Consider the following 16,454-nt stretch of genomic DNA (forward strand, 5'->3'; position numbering starts at 1 on the left):
CTCTGAGGACCTTTAGTCATCCTTACTCCATGCTCTCCCCTACCACCGGATGTACTGAGCAGCAGAGAATGGGACCTGGGAGGGGGCCTATTCCAGGTCAAAGGGGAGAGACTACTCCTGGTCAACGGGGAACTACTCTGGGTCTATGAGAGGACTAGTTCAGGTAGATGAGGGACTACTCCAGGTCAATGGGGAACCACTCTGGGTCAAGGGAAGACTATTCCAGGTCGGGCAAGGGGAGCTATTCCAGGTGAAGAAGGCGGATGCAGGGGTGGGTCCAGTCAGCCCAAGTGAGAGAGGAAGCATTTTAGCAGATTATAGGGCTTTAAGCCTGGGTCACAGGTGTGTCACCTGTTGGGGGCACGAATGAAGAGCTTAGGCTGTGATGCTGGTCCAACTTTATTATAGTCTGTGGTAGTGATGAGTAGGAGACAGTCTGATTATATACATATATACATATATATATATATGTATAGACAGCAGTGGAAGAAGAGATAAATTTTAACTTATTGTCAAGGTAAATACAGTCATAAAATTAACTGGTATATATTTTGCTTGTTCACAACATATCAGACGTGCTCAGAACTTTATGTAGATTATTGTATTGATTGCCTGTGGCACTTCTCTAAGGATTGTTAGCCTGTTGTGCAGATGGTGAGAGCTCATCCAACCAGTTTGCTTAGTAAGTGGTGCAGCCCAATGCATGCCGGAGCAGAGATCATGCCTAGGACCTGAGGAACATCTATCTTTACTGGTAGAAGAAAGAGAGCTGGCAAAGGGTGCGTGAGATGCAGGAAACACAGGGGACAGAGTGACAGAGGCGTGGTGGCAGCGTTAGTGCACTTCTCTGGAAGCAAGACTTTCTGTTGTGTTTTTTGTTTTCGTTTTTATTGAAAGAGCTTCCTGATTCCATGTCTGTTTTAGTGGGTGAATGGAATAAAAACCCAGCTATGAAAGGGTGAAATAAATAAAGGTAAGAAGGAAGCTGAGGAGCAGAAAGCTCAGCCTTGGCTGTCAGGAGGCAGCAGGGTCAGGAAAAATGTTGGGTTTTGCTCTTTGAGGATTTGTTTTATTTGGGGTGGCTTTTGTTTGCTTATTTACTTTTCCCGCTAATGCTGGAGAGCTGAGCATGATGGTGGTGGTGGGGAGGGGCTCATACAGGGCAGGGTCCAACCCCAGCCTCATTAGGGAGGCAGCTGCAGGGCCTGCTGGGAGCCACTGGACGACCAATTTCTGCTTTTTTCAGGAGTGGTTACTGAATAGTGTAGTCCTTGGCTGCAATTGTCTGTGAAATTGGTGGGTTTGAGGAGGTGTCCTTATAGGACCACAGGTTCTGCTACACCGTTTTATATTGGATTTTGCATATGGGTGAATTTCCCATATGCTGGAGAGAGACAGAAATGAGAGCTTTTAATGAAAGTTTGGTGGTTTATTGTATATATGTTTTGTTAGTTTCTGTGTTTGGTGATAAGGGGGGTCTGAGCTTGGCCTACTGTGGGGGTTTCGGCTGCCATCTGTGCACTGGGTCACCCTATCCTGGCAGGCACCTGCAAAAGGAGTGTTGTCATCTCCTCCTGCGTTTCCTCTGTTGAGAGTTATGGAGGAGATGGTGGGGAATAAGTTCTCACTCTTAGTCACGGCTCTGGTTTTTGCAGGCCTGCGTGATGTTTCCTTGCTGCGGCTGCACATCAGTGTCTTGTTTTCTCGGGTTTATGTTCCTTTGGGTGACTGTAGATAGGGATTGTAGCATGATCTCTCAGCACAATTTGGGATTGCTTCCCCCCAGACCCCCACCCCCCGCCGCCATTGTCAAAGGTGGTGATGAAAAGCTTTCTTACGGAGTTATTGTGAATGAAGTGTCAGGTCTTTTCCTGGGTTCTGCAGGCGAGGCTTGCTGTAATCCTCTCTTGCTCTCTCACTGATTCTCACTCTTTAAGGTGACTTTGATTGCAGGATTAGCCTTCAGAACCCTCATGAAATGCTGGATAGGGTGTGAAGTCATCAGAGTTAGGGGCTGGCCAGCTGCTGATCAGGGCTTCTCCCCCTACTTTTTTTTTTTTTTTTTTTTGAGACAGTATCTTGCTCTGTTGCCCAGGCTGGAGTGCAGTGGCATCTCGGCTCACTGCAATCTCCGCCTCCTGGGTTCAAGCAATTCTCCTGCCTTAGCCTCCCGAGCAGCTGGGATTACAGACATGTGCCACCACACCTGGCTAATTTTTGTATTTTTAGTAGAGATGGGGTTTCACCATGTTGGCCAGGCTGGTCTCGAACTCCTGACCTTAAGTGATGTACCCGCCTCAGCCTCCCAAAGTGCTGGGATTACAGGTGTGAGCCACCGTGCCTGGCCTGGTTTCTCCCTTGTTGATCTGCATTGGAGCTCAACACACTCAGTGTCCCCACTTGGAGTGTTCCCCACTGGGGAAAGAATTGCATAAAAAACATATGCTCCACTTGTTGATGCTAGCACTGGCCACACCTTCCACCTGCCTTCCTGGAGTTCTCAGAAATGAAGTGTCCCAGCTGAGCTGGAAAGAGTTGGAGTGATGTTATGTTTTATCTTCTGTGGGGAATCTCCCCCTTCTATCATTGTCTTGCCAGATAAGGTTACCTGGCTTCTATGTGTTGTAGGAACAGGTGAAGAACAAGGTGCCTCCATGCCAGAGGCTGCATGGCAGCCCAGCCCCACCGTGCCGGCCTGCGTGCTGGCTGTGGTCCCTCAGGCTTGTGTGCTGTTGGTACCTTTCTCACCAGTCTGGCAGTCAGTGATCCCTGTTGCATGGGGGCCATGGTAGTAGTTTTGGCTACTTCTGTTTGTTAACCATAGGTACAACACAAAGCATTTGTAAATAATGAACTCCAATCATTGCCGTTTCTGCCTGCAGCCTGGAATTGTCTCGCCATTTAAACGAGTATTCCTAAAAGGTGAAAAGAGTAGAGATAAGAAAGCCCATGAGAAGGTGACAGAGAGGCGCCCTCTGCACACTGTGGTGTTGTCATTGCCTGAGCGCGTCGAGCCAGACAGACTGCTGAGCGACTATATTGAGAAGGAGGTAAAGGTAAGTCGTCATGGGCCACAGGACGTGCCTGCCAAACGACAGTGACGGTCATGCTTGTATCCACCAGACACTCTTGAGTTTATAAGACACAGCCACACAAACACCTTAGTAGTTGATTATCCCACCCATTGTCTTGTCTATGCTGATAAATTTAATAATTGGATAACTGAAAACCCAGATTCTGTCTGCTGACCCCAGTTTATTTTTTTCTGTAGTAGCAATGCCACCTTCTTTCTCTCGAAGACTTGGCTGTGTGAGTAGTATGTGCTGCTCCACCAGAAGAGGGTTAAAGAGCTGGGAGAAAACTCACATCTCCTGTAGTTTGCAGTTGAAAAGAGTTACCTGGTCAAGGCCATGACCTTGCAGGTCTAACAGTCACCGCCTAGAATTCAGACCATGTGTTTGAGGCTCATCATTGGGTCTCAAAGGCCTGAGGCCAAAATACTGTGCATAAACCATGTGACGTGCATAAGTTGATTTTTAATCCCTCCCCTAAAATGAAAATATATGAATAAAAAGGTATAAAGCCATGAGGTCAGAGAGAATAGGAAAGGAGACAACAGTGGATGAGGTGGTCCGTAAACATGGAAGAAGGAAACCGCTGAGGGTGAGATGAGTTAGAGCTAATGCAGCCAGACCCGAGTTCCTGCAGAGGACCCAGAGTCCAGGGGGCTCAGGAGGGGCATGGGGCAGTTCGAATGTCCATGGGAGGGATTTCCACTCTCACCTGGCTCAGCCAGATGATTAACTCATCCCCACCCACTGGAAGATGGGGCTTTGGACGTGCAGAAACCTGGTACAGGGGCAGGTGGGGAGAGACCAAGACAGAAGATAAGGAAGTCAAGTCAAAGCCTGTATGTGGAATGGAGAGAATTCCCAATTCCTTTTTCTTTCAAGCTTCTAGAATGCCTGCAACCAGGCCTTTCCCACAAAGGAATTCTTGGAAGGGTGCTCATTGGGGAAGTTAAGCAGCCCCTACTGGCCCTTGGGTTTACCCAACCAACCAGCCTGAATAAACTCCAACAGTCAGGACTCCCGCCAGGCATCCGACGTCTGTCAGCTTTTTGGAGCCTCATTTCAAACACAGGCAGCTGAGTATAAGTACACATTTGAGGACAACTTTCAACCTAAAGGCAGAGCTCAAGACAAATACACAAACATGAATAAACAGCAACAATGCAGAAAATAGGGGAAGAAATGTAAAAGTATATAATATTTTCAGAAAGATAAGAGGAAATATTGTTGACAGTGACAACAGGATTCTACTTTTAAATAAAAAGGTGAGAGGAAGAGCTTCTGGAATTAAAACTGTTAATTAGGCCAGGTGCGGTGGCTCACACCTGTAATCCCAGCACTTTAGGAGGCCAAGGTGTGCGGATCACTTGAGGTCAGGAGTTCGAGAGCAGCCTGGCCAACATGGAGAAACCCCGTCTCTACTAAAAATACAAAAATTAGCCGGGCGTGGTGGCAGGCGCCTGTAATCCCAGCTACTTGGGAGGCTGAGGCAGGAGAATTGCTTGAACCTGGGAGGTGGAGGTTGCAGTGAGCCAAGATCACACCACTGCACTCCAGCTTGGGTGAAAGAGTGAGACTGTATGTCAAAAGAAAACAAAACAAAACAACTATGTTATTTATATATCTTTAAAAAATTCAATAGAGGTGTTGAAAGATAAAAGTAAAAAAAAAGGCCAGGTGCTGTGGCTCATGCCTGTAATCCCAGCACTTTGGGAGGCCAATCACGAGGTCAGGAGATTGAGACCATCCTGGCTAACACAGTGAAACCCTGTCTCTACTAAAAATACAAAAAATTAGCCGGGCGCGGTGGCGGGCACCTGTAGTCCCAGCTACTCGGGAGGCTGACATAGGAGAATGGCGTGAACCCAGGAGGTGGAGCTTGCAGTGATCCCAGATTGTGCCACTTCAGCCTGGGCAATAGAGCGAGACTCCGTCTCAAAAAAAAAAGTAAAAAAAAGTCCCAGAAAGAATATTCAAAAAACAAAGAAGGTTAATAAACAAAAGATGAGAAAGAGAAATGAAATTAGATGACCAATTCAGGAAGTTCAACATCTGACTCCCAAGAAAAAAGAATGAAGGGAAGAGTGAGAAGAAGTTATTAAGACAGTAAAGGAAGAACATTTTGAATAATTGACTGATGGACATGACTCCCCCCATTGAAAGGATCCTGTCATGATGACTAGACAGGTCTCTAAAACCTCAACTCACAGAAGCCTGTTCTTAGAAGTTACTGGAGGATGTGCTGCATCAAAACATAAGGGGAGGCCGGGCATGGTGGCTCACGCCTGTAATCCCAGCACTTTGGGAGGCCAAGGGGGGCAGATCAGATGAGGCCAGGAGTTTGAGATCAGCCTGGCCAACATGGCGAAACCCTGTCTCTATTAAAAATGCCAGAAAAATTAGCCAGGTGTAGTGGCACACGCCTGTAATTCCAGCTACTTGGGAGGCTGAGGCACGAGAATAGCTTGAACCCGGGAGGCGGAGGTTGCAGTGAGCCGAGATCGCACCCCTGCACTCCAGCCTAGGCGACAGCGTGAGACGCGGTCTTCAAAAACAAAACAAAACACAAGGGCAAACCAAGAATAGGAAGACACGGATTCATAGCCCAAGGGGTCTGCCAGGGAAAGGAACAAAGATAATTCCCAGGATGACAGGAAAGTGAAGTCCCAGGAAATTAATCTAAGAAACAGGCCACAGAAGCTCTGGGATAAGTAAGTATAGACTATATGTTTGGGTAGAATAATGTATTGAGAAGTTGCTGAAGAAATAGAATAGTACATAGAAACAAAGCAAATAGAGGTGTGGAGGAATTGATAATAAATCATTAAAAATGAAAACTTAAATGTTGGAAACTCCTGTTTCTGGGAAGATGAAGTAGACATTCTTTTCCCTGTTCTTCTAGTTAAGTGCATCTAAAATCTAAAATCCTTGGACACTATATGCAATAACGTAAGAACACTCTGAAAGGTAAAGAGAACGCAGACCACCCAGGACCCAGAAAATGACCCAGTAGTGATTTCTTCAGGTTGTCTTTTTGCCTCATGTAGCCCAGACTATGAGCCGAAGAAACTGGCAGCCCAGAAACACCAACAGGTACAGACAGAACCCCCTGCCAAAGCCAGCTCCTTCTGACCAAAGGACCAGGAAAGGGGCAGCCTAGCACAAAACAGAGAATATTTAGACAACTGCTCAGTGCAAACCAAACATGATAGAAAGGACTGTGGTCCTACCTCTGTGCCTGCTACCAGAGGCTAAGTGAGGGCCACTTACTCCTCCAGAGAAAGTTGAATAGGGACCATGGACTTTTATCCCTGTTGGGCAGTAACAAACCCCTAAGGAACCTTGTGTGGTTCTGGAGTGTTAGTGGAGACCACATTGGGTGGGGCAGTAATGAGGCCCTCCTATTCCTTCCAACCAGGGAAGAATCAGTGGAAGCCACATGGGGAACCAGAACTCTTATCATACCCAGCAGTAACGAGGAAGGAGCCCTCCACGCAGGAGGCCAAGTAGGGAATCTGACCTTTGACCCCTACTTGGTGGTAAAGGTGGTGTTGTCGAGCGCCGTGGCCCATGCCTGTAATCCCAGTACTTTGGGAGACTGAGGCGGACGGATCACGAGGTCAGGAGTTCAAGACCAGCCTGACCAACATGGTGAAACCCCATCTCTACTAGAAATACAAAAATTAGCCAGTTGTGGTGGCACACGCCTGTAATCTCAGGAGGCTGAGGCAGGAGTATTGCTTGACTCCGGAAGATGGAGATTGCAGTGAGCTGAGATCTCACCACTGCACTCCAGCCTGGGTAACAGAGCGAGATTCCATCTCAAAAAAAAAAGGTGCCGTTCCCTTCCCTTCTGAGGGCCTAGGTTAAATTTTCTAGCATTTGTATTGTTGAAGTCCTGAAAAGAGAGGAGAAAGAGGGAAGGGCTGAAAAACTTTTCAAAGATCTTATGGGTTGAAACGTTTGGCAAAGGACAAACTTAAAAGATTCAGAAAGCTGAGCAAACGCCAAACAAGATAAATCCACTACTAAAGCCCATCATAGTAGAATTTCTGAAAAGTAAAGACAACAACAACAAAAAATCTTGAAAGTGGCAAGAAAGAAACACTTTACTCATAGGGGAAAACAGAAAGCAGATTTCTTGTTACACATAATGAGGACCAGTGGCACAACATTCTTCAAGTTCTGAGAGACCCTGAGAATCAAAAGGATAATGAGAGAACACAAGCAACTCCACACACAGTGGGCCAAAAAATAGACCAATTCCTTGAAAAGCACAAACTCCTCCCACAGTCATCCAATATGAAATAGATCATTTGAATACCCCTATAATTATTAAAGAAATTCAGTATCTAATTTGAAAACTCCCATTAAAAAAAGTCTTTAGGCCCAAATGGTTTCACTGGAGAATTCTATCAAACATTTAAAGAATTAATGTCAATTCTACATACTCTTCCAGAAAAACAGAAAGGGAGGGAACTCTTCTGTTCTCTCTTCTCTTCTCTGCTTTCTCTTCTCTTCTTCTTCTTTTTTTTTTTTTTTTTTCCTTGAGATAGGGTCTGTCTCTGTTGCCCATGTTAGAGTGCAGTGGCATGATCATGGTTCACTGCAGCCTCGACCTTCCAAGCTCAAGCAGCCCTCCCACCTTAGCCTCCTGAGTAGCTGAGACTACAGGTGCCTGCCACCATGCCCAGCTAATTTTTTATTTTGTAGAGATGAGGTCTCACTGTGTTGACCAGGCTGTCTTGAACTCCTAGACTCAAGCAGTCCTCCCACCTCAGCCTCCCAAAGTCCTGGAATTATAGGCATGAACCACTGCACTTGGAATATTTTCTGACTCATTTTGTAAGGGCAGTATTGCCCTGATACCAAACCAGACAAAAAACAGTGCAAAATTAAAAGAAATAACAGACACCAATACAAACATAAAATTCCTCAGGAAACTATTAGGTAACATATTCAGCAATATAGAAAAAATTATACCTACTGTGGCTGTGAGAATAAACAACAAAAAAATTATACACCGTGAACAAGTGGAGTTTGTTCTGAGGATGCAAGGCTGGTTTGATACTTGAAAATGTAATCCATTGGCAGGAGAATCACTTGAACCCAAGGAGGCGGAGGTTGCAGTGAGCTGGGATTGTGCCACTGCACTCCAGCCTGGGTGATGGGGTGAGACTCCATCCCAAAAAAAAAAAAAATTGTGGAGAAATTTTAATTAACATTTCTTCAAATATTTAACTTTATTTTTTTCTTTCCTTCTAGGGCTCCCATTAATCACATATTGATATTTATTTTATTTTTCATGCCCTTTCATTTTTCTCTCATTTTTCCTATTCTTTACTCTTCCCAATGCCTTCTGGGAATGTTTCAAACCACTCTCCGTCTTATGAATTCATTCCTCAACTGTATTCATTCAACCCTGAATTAAATTGTTTGTTTCTACTATATCTGATTGGTCCTTTTTTATAACTCCTTGTCCCTATTTGTTTCCAGTGCCCTCCTACATGCCCTTGAGAATATTTATTAGGATTATTGTAAATTCTTGTTTTCTCTGGCTTATCAGTTCTTCTCCCTCCAGAATTAGTTGTTTAGTTTGTGATCTTGCCTTTCCAGTGCTTGAGGTCTGTGTTCCACAGATCTGTCTTTATTTTTTCCATTCCCTCCAGAATATCAGCTATAGTTTTTTTGTTTTGTTTTGTTTCGTTTTGGGATGGAGTCTCGCTCTGTCGCCCAGGCTGGAGTGCAGTGGTGCAGGCTCCGCTCACTGCAAGCTCCGCCTCCCGGGTTCACGCTGTTCTCCTGCTTCAGCCTCCCGAGTGGCTGGGACTGCAGAAGCCTGCCACCACGCCCAGCTAATCTTTTTTTGTATTTTTAGTAGAGATGGGGTTTCACCGTGTTGGTCAGGATGGTCTCGATCTCCTGACCTTGTGATCCTCCCGCCTCGGCCTCCAAAGGTGCTGGGATTACAGGTGTAAGCCACCACGTCTGGCCCAGCTGTAGTTTTTATATTACGTTCTGAGTTCCATCTATAGCCCACTTGCTTCTGAGGCATCTCCAGGATGAGATTCAAAGGAGGGAAACCCCAATTGCTGTAAGTTCCCCATCTTGACTCTTGACTTCCTTACAGCATAAACTACACTTCTGGTCCTCAAGATTTAGCCCAATTTGACTGGGCTGTCTTTTTATGTTCAGTAGAATTAGACTATATCACAGAACCACCAAACATTTTTTACTAGTTTATGGAGAGAATTACCATTTTCTAGAGGTAGGGAAGAGACATTAGTGACCTCATATGGCAAATTACTATGGAGAATATAATTATTTCCAAATTTTCCTAGAACCATAATACTTTGTGATTGTTACAGTGATTCTTATTTTCCTTCCTTCCTTCCTTAGACCTCTTAAGTATACCCTATAATATGATTTTTAATTCAAAAGTTATTAAAATTTTGTTTTGAAGATTTCATAACTAAACTCTAACCGATCCCCAAGATGACTAGAAAAGCCTCTTGGTTTTACAAAACTAGTTTGGATAGTGCTGTTCTGAAGGTATAATAGAAATTGGTGAAATTATTTGTGGCCTGTCTTTGTGTTCTTGCTGTATCAATATTTGTATCTTATCAGATACCTTTACATATGTCTAGCCTTTTCTTTCTATCTGACATTAACTTATTCAACAAATATATGTTGAACACTTGCTCCACTATCGTTATAGCTGCTAGGTGCAGCTAGAAGTGACAGCTGATAGAGCAATTTCTTTAGAGTAGTTTGTGCAGTTTCAGTTGAAAAATCAGCGCCTGGTTTCCATTCAGGCCCTGCTATTGTGCATGGGAACTTGAATCACCTTGGAACTTTTGTATTGATTTCCATAAATGGGAAGTTAGATGAATTGCTTAATAATACCATATGTTTGCAGAAATAAAAGAAAAATCACCGCTTAAAAAAATGTAATCCATCATATTAACAAGCTAAAGAAGAAAAATCACATAATTATATCAATCAGTGGCAGAAAGTTTATTTGACAAAATTCAGCACCCATTCTTGATTAAAAACTCAGACAAATGGGGCTGGGTGCGGTGGCTCACGCCTGTAATCCCAGCACTTTGGGAGGCCGAGGCAGGTGGATCACAAGGTCAGGAGATCAAGACCATCCTGGCTAACATGGTGAAACACTGTCTCTACTAAAAATACAAAAAATTAGCCGGACGTGGTGGCGGGTGCCTGTAGTCCCAGCTACTCGGGAGGCTGAGGCAGGAGAACAGCATGAACCCGGGAGGCGGAGCTTGCAGTGAGCCCAGATCATGCCGCTGCACTCCAGCCTGGGTGACAGAGTGAGACTTTGCCTCAAAAAAACAAAACAAAACAAAACAAACTCAGACAAACAAGATATGTTTTTGAACAATGAATATGTGGATATCAAAATTAAATCAATACCATTCACAATCACTTAAAAAATGAAACACGGGTATAAATCTTACAAAACATGAATAAGATTTGTATGCTGAAAACTATAGAACACTGATGAAAGAAATCAAAGATCTGAATAAGTGGAGAGACACACTGAATTCATGGATTGGAAGACTCAACCTAATTAGTATGTTACTTGTCCCTAAGTTGATATAAATGGACCAACTCCTTGAAAAGCACAAACTACTACTACAAGTCATCCAATATGAAATAATTTGAATAGCTTGTAACTATTAAAAGTGAATTCTACAATTCCTATCAAAATTTCAGCAAGAATTTTTTGTAGATATAAACAAGACTATTCTTAAAGTGCAGTGGCACGATCTTAAATTTCAAGCTATTCTTGAAATTTAAATGGAGAGGCAAAATAAGTAGAATAGCTAATAATAATTTTGAAAAAGAAGAAAATGAGAAGAGTCAGCCTGTCTGATTTCAAGATAGATCATACTGCTATCACAATCAAGACTGTGGTATCTGCAGAGGGACTGACACAGAGATCAGGGGAGCAAAATGAACTAGAAACAGATCCACACATATATGCCCAGCTGATTCTTGACAAAGGTTCATAAGCAATTCAGTGGAGAAGGGATAGGATAGCCTTTTAACAAATGGTGCTGGAGCAGTTGGACATTTGTAGGCAAAAATTGAACCTTGCCCTGAATTTCACAACTTAAACACAAAAATTAACTCAAAATGGATCATAGGCTTAAATATAAAATACAACTTCTAGGATAAAACATAGAAAATCTTCAGGATGCAGGGCTACGCAGAGTTCTGAGACTTGATACCTAAAGCATAATTCATAAAAGAAAAAACTGATAAACTGGACTTCATCAAAATTTAAAACTCTTGCTCTATAAAAGACAATGAAAACATATGCTACAGACTGAGAGGAGATATTTTTAAACCACATATCTGACAGAGGGTTGGTATCTACAGTATATAAAGAACTCTCAAAACTCAACAGTAAAACAAACAATCCGATTAAGACATAAGCAAAAGACAGGAGGAGATACTTCAATGAAGAGGATATACAGATGGCAGTAAGCACATGAAAATATGCTCAGCATCATTAGCCATCAGGGAAATGCACATTAAAACCATAATGAGCTGCCAATACACACCTAACAGAATGTTTAAAAAAAGTAGAACACAAGATGCTGGAGAAGATGTGGAGGAACTGGACCCCTCATTCATTGCTGGTAGGGATGTAAAATGGTACCGCCACTCTAGAAAGCAGTCTGGCAGTTTCTTCAAATCTCCACGTGCAACTACGAACAACTTGGCAATTGCACTCCTAGGCATTTATCCCAGGGAAATGAAAATTTATGTTCACATGAAAACCTGCCTACTAATATTCAAAACAGTTGTATTCATAGTAGCCCAAAACTGGAAACAACTCCATGTCCTTTGGTGGATAAATGGTTAAACAAAATGAGGTCCATCCATGCCACAGAAGACTATTCAATAATACAAAGGGCTGGGCATGGTGGCACCTGCCTGTAGTCCCACCTACTGGGGAGGCTGAGGCTGGAGGATTGCTTGAGCCCAGGAAGTCCAGGCTGCAGTGAGCCATGATCATGCCACTGTGCTCCATCCTGGATGACAGTGAGACCCTGTCTTAAAGCAACAACAAAGGAACAAACTACACAGCAACCTGGATGGGCCTCCAGAGAATTATGTTGAGTGAAAAAAGCCGTTCCTAAAGGTTTCACACTGTATGTTCCTTTCTGTAACATCTTTGAAATGACACAGTTGCTGAGGTGGAGAACAGATTAGGGTTTGCTAGGGGTGGAGAGAAGTAGGTGTGCCTATAAAGGGCAACAGGAGGGGTCCTCACAGTGATGGGTGCTCTGGCTGTGTTTACATCCATGTCCTGGTGTGATGTGCTGTAGTTCTGCAAGATGTCACTGCTGGGGGCAATAGGGTAAAGGGAGCGATGGATCTCCCTGTATCATTTCTTATAATAAGAGAATTTACAATTACCTTAAAATAAAAGTTTAATTATAAAGAAATTGCAATTTGACTACTACTTGGCATGTCAGTGAGAGAATGTAGATAATAAAATGATGTAAAAACTAAGTAATGATTAAGAAAAATTATCTAAGTTGTAAGAAAAGAGAGGGAAAGTGGGAATGGTGATACAATTGGAAGTCAATATCTTAAATTGATAAGCAATAGGAATATAAGCCCATTATTTAGAAAAATGGCTCTAGATCCTAGAAGAATCAGAAGACTTCAGTGTGGCTGCCTCTTGGAAGTGGTTTGTGGATGGGGTTGTCCCAGTTAGTAAAGGAGATTGTTGTTGTTTTGTTTTACAATTTTTTGAACTTTATTTGCCTTTTTAAACTGTATACATTTCATAAAATAAAAACAATCACAATAATAAAATCCACCAGTGATAGGAGACATTTAATCCCACATACTCCAGTGTGGTGTTTATGGGAAGTATTTTGTTTTTAGAATGAACATTAATGAACAAGTTGAGAGGGATTTAATAGTAGCTTCTGTTTTGGAATGCTTACTGTGTGCAGCAACACTATTTAACATTTTAAATATATTTTTCTCATTTAATCTTCACAAAACCTTCATAAAGTAGAAACATTCCTCTGGGAGGCCGAGGCAGGCGGATCACGAGGTCAAGAGATCTAGACTATCCTGGCCAACATGGTGAAACCCCATCTCTACTAAAAATACAAAGATTAGCTGGATGTGGTGGTGTGCACCTGTAGTCCCAGGTGCTTGGGAGGCTGAGGCAGGAGATTCGCTTGAACCCAGGAGGTGAAGGTTGCAGTGAGCCGAGATTGTGCCACTGCACTCCAGGCTGGTGACAGAGCAAGACTGTCTAAAAAAAAAAAAAAATTCTTTCTGTAGTTTCCATCACAAGCTGACATTTTCCCCAGTAGGATTTGGTGCAGTGCAAGGCTCACGTGGGCTCACCTAGTGACTATGAATGGACTCATAGCAGGCTTGCTGTGTGGTTTTAATAATGGGACAGGGTAATTAATCACATTTGTGATAACAAACCCAAGAAGCTCTTCTCAGATTTGTTATTATTTTTTGAGACAGGGTCTCACTCTGTCACCCAGGCTGGAATGTAGTGACACAGTCATGACTCACTGCAGCTTCAACTTCCCTGGGCTCAGGTGATCCTCTCACCTCAGCTTCCTGAGTAGCTGGGACCACATGTTGCACCATCACACCTGGCTAATTTTTGTATTTTTTTGTGGTGATGGGGTCTTGCCATGTTGCCCAGGCTGGTCTCGAACTCCTGTGCTCAAGCGATCCTCCTGCCTCGGCTTCTCAAAGTGATAGATTACAAGTGTGAGCCACCATGTCCGGCCTATTATTTATTTTTATCTAATTGAATATGTAATTTATGTACATGGTTCAAAATTCAAATGATAACAGAGATTCTTGGTGAAAAGAAATCATGTGCACCCTCCGTGGGAGGAATTGCTGACACCAGCTTCTTGTGTCTTTACAGTCTGTCCATATATGAGCTTACACATGCATTTGTTTCCCAAATGATTACACGGTATACACTGTTTGCACCTTGCTTTTTACACTGAACAGTGTATCTTGATTTATCGCCGAGTGTTCACATTAGCACACATAAAACTGCCTCGTCCATTTTAATGGTTGCATGATATTCCATTAGATAGCTGTGTCATATTCTATTTAACCAGTGATTTATTAATACATATTTAATTTATTTTCAACTGTTATGTATGTTTTACTGTACCTATAGGATAAATTACAAAAGTGGAGTTTCTAGATCTAAGGCTAGGTTACTTTTTAATTTGACAGACATTTCCAAATTGCTCTTCATAAAGGGTTGAAGTCAGTGCATACGTGAGGACTCTGTGAGTGTGCAGGCGGCCCTGTACCTCTGCAGGTTCTTCACCTGAGTCAAGCAACTGTGGGTTGAAAGTATTCAAAAAAAGAACAATAAAAAAACCACTACAACAATAAAAAATAATACAAATTTAAAAAATACAGTGTAACAACTATTTACATAACATTTACATTGTATTAGGTATAAGTAATCTAGAGATAATTTGAAGTACAGTCTTGGCCATATAACAACATATTGGTCAACGACAGACCACACATATGACAATGGTCCCATGAGATTATAAGGGAGCTAAAAAATTTCCATTGCCTAGTGACATAGCTGTCTTAACATTGTAGCACAACGCATCACCTTTTCTGTGTTTGAATGTATTTAGAGTCACAAATACTTACTATTGTGTTACAGTTGCCTGCCTGCAGTATTCATACATTAACATGCTGTACAGGTTGTAGCCTGGGAGCAATACCATATAGCCTAGGTGTGTAGTGGGCTATAATGTACCATCTGAGTTTGTGTAATTACACTCTGTGATGTTCACTCAATGATGAAATTGCCTAATGACATATTTCTCAGAATGTATCTCTGTTGTCGAGTGATGCATGACTGTTACACAGGAGGAGTGTAGGTTATGTGCAACTAATACTGCCATATTGTATGAGGAACTTGAACATCTGCAGATTTTGGTATCCCAAGAGGCTCCTGGAACCAAGCCCCAGCAGATACTGAGGGACAACTGTACCTGTTTCTCCACCCTCTGAGGAACGCAGTGTTTATTCAAACTTTTTGGTCTTTGCCAGTCTGATATTCTTAAAATGTTTTCTCATTATAGTTTGTACTTATAAGTGAGGTTGAGTGTCTTTCAAATGGTCAAAAGTCAGGTCTCTTTCAGACTACCTTTCTAGATCCATTGCCCATTTTTTCTGTTGGGTTATTGCTTCTTTTCTTATATCTTTGCAGTAGCTCTCAGTGTGTCGGGTAAGTTAGTCCTCTGCTGTAAAGTTAGTTTTAAATGTTTTCCCCTAGTTTGTCATTTGTCTTTGTTCATCATTGTCTTCAATTGGTTCTCTTGCAGCAGAGCCTGAAACTGGGGATCATGTTCCACTGATCTGTAAAGGGCATGCTCAAGAGAAAGAGTGAAGGGGGTAGGGTAGGGCAGAGGGGAAAGATGCCTGAAAATCATAGACTCGGGTTAATTTCAACCTGATCATGCTCTAAAGCCTAGAATGCCACAGCTCGGTGAAGACAGAAGTAGCTCAGGGTGTTACCCATCCACCCTCAGAGCAGTGGGGGGATCCTGGGTGAGACACCACTGCCTGTACTACACTCCACCCTGCACTTCCTCATCCACATATTTCTCACGTTAAGTTCATTCTATCCAGACTCAGCTTCTCCAGAGGCATTTGGTCATGATTTCTGGAAACCTTTCCAGATGAACTACAGCCCTGACTACTTCAGTGGGTCCCAAGGCCTCATTCCACCCACTGGGGACATAGCACCATGTAGCAACTATTGGTTTAGATGTATACTGCATCCTAAAGAAGAGGGGGCATCCTTTCAGGGTGTCATCTCCCAGCTGGCCACAGCTCTATCAAGATGACAGCTCCAGGATGCTTGGGTATTTATTTATTTATTTATTTATTTATTTATTGAGACATAGTCTCGTTCTGTCGCCCAGCCTGGAGTGCAGTGGCGTGGTCTTGGCTCACTGCAAGCTCTGCCTCCCGGGTTCATGCCATTCTCCTGCCTCAGCCTCCCTAGTAGCCGGGACTACAGGCGCCCGTCACCACGCCTGGCTAATTTATTTATTTATTGTGAGACGGAGTCTTGCTCTGTCTCCCAGGCTGTAGTGGTGGCATGATCTCAGCTCACTGCAAGCTCTGCCTCCCGGGTTCATGCCATTCTCCTGCCTCAGCCTCCCAAGTAGCTGGGACCACAGGCACGTGCCACCACACATGGCTAGTATTTTTGTATTTTTAGTAGAGACGGGGTTTCACTGTGTTAGCCAGGATGGTCTCGATCTCCTGACCTCGTGATCCGCCCACCTCGGCCCCCCAAAA

At 43.2% G+C, this 16,454-nt stretch overlaps 1 protein-coding gene across 15 annotated transcripts in view; it reads left to right on the forward strand.

Annotated features, from left to right (window-relative positions):
- The window catches only part of CCM2 (CCM2 scaffold protein), a 76,725-nt gene that overhangs the window by 35,625 nt on the left and 24,646 nt on the right, over positions 1-16,454 (forward strand). For 10 of the 15 annotated variants that reach the window (NR_030770.2, NM_001363458.2, NM_031443.4 and 7 more), the window contains exon 2: positions 2,883-3,056. The exons of the other annotated variants lie outside the window; for them this stretch is intronic. Coding sequence is in view for 9 of the 10 variants with exons in the window: in NM_001363458.2 (NP_001350387.1) it covers positions 2,883-3,056 (174 nt within the window). In the remaining variant the exon portion in view is untranslated. The remainder of the gene's footprint in view (positions 1-2,882; positions 3,057-16,454) is intronic. 15 annotated transcript variants of the gene reach the window in all.

The sequence above is a fragment of the Homo sapiens genome, chromosome 7, assembly GCF_000001405.40.
Source record: "Homo sapiens chromosome 7, GRCh38.p14 Primary Assembly".
NCBI lineage: Eukaryota > Metazoa > Chordata > Mammalia > Primates > Hominidae > Homo > Homo sapiens.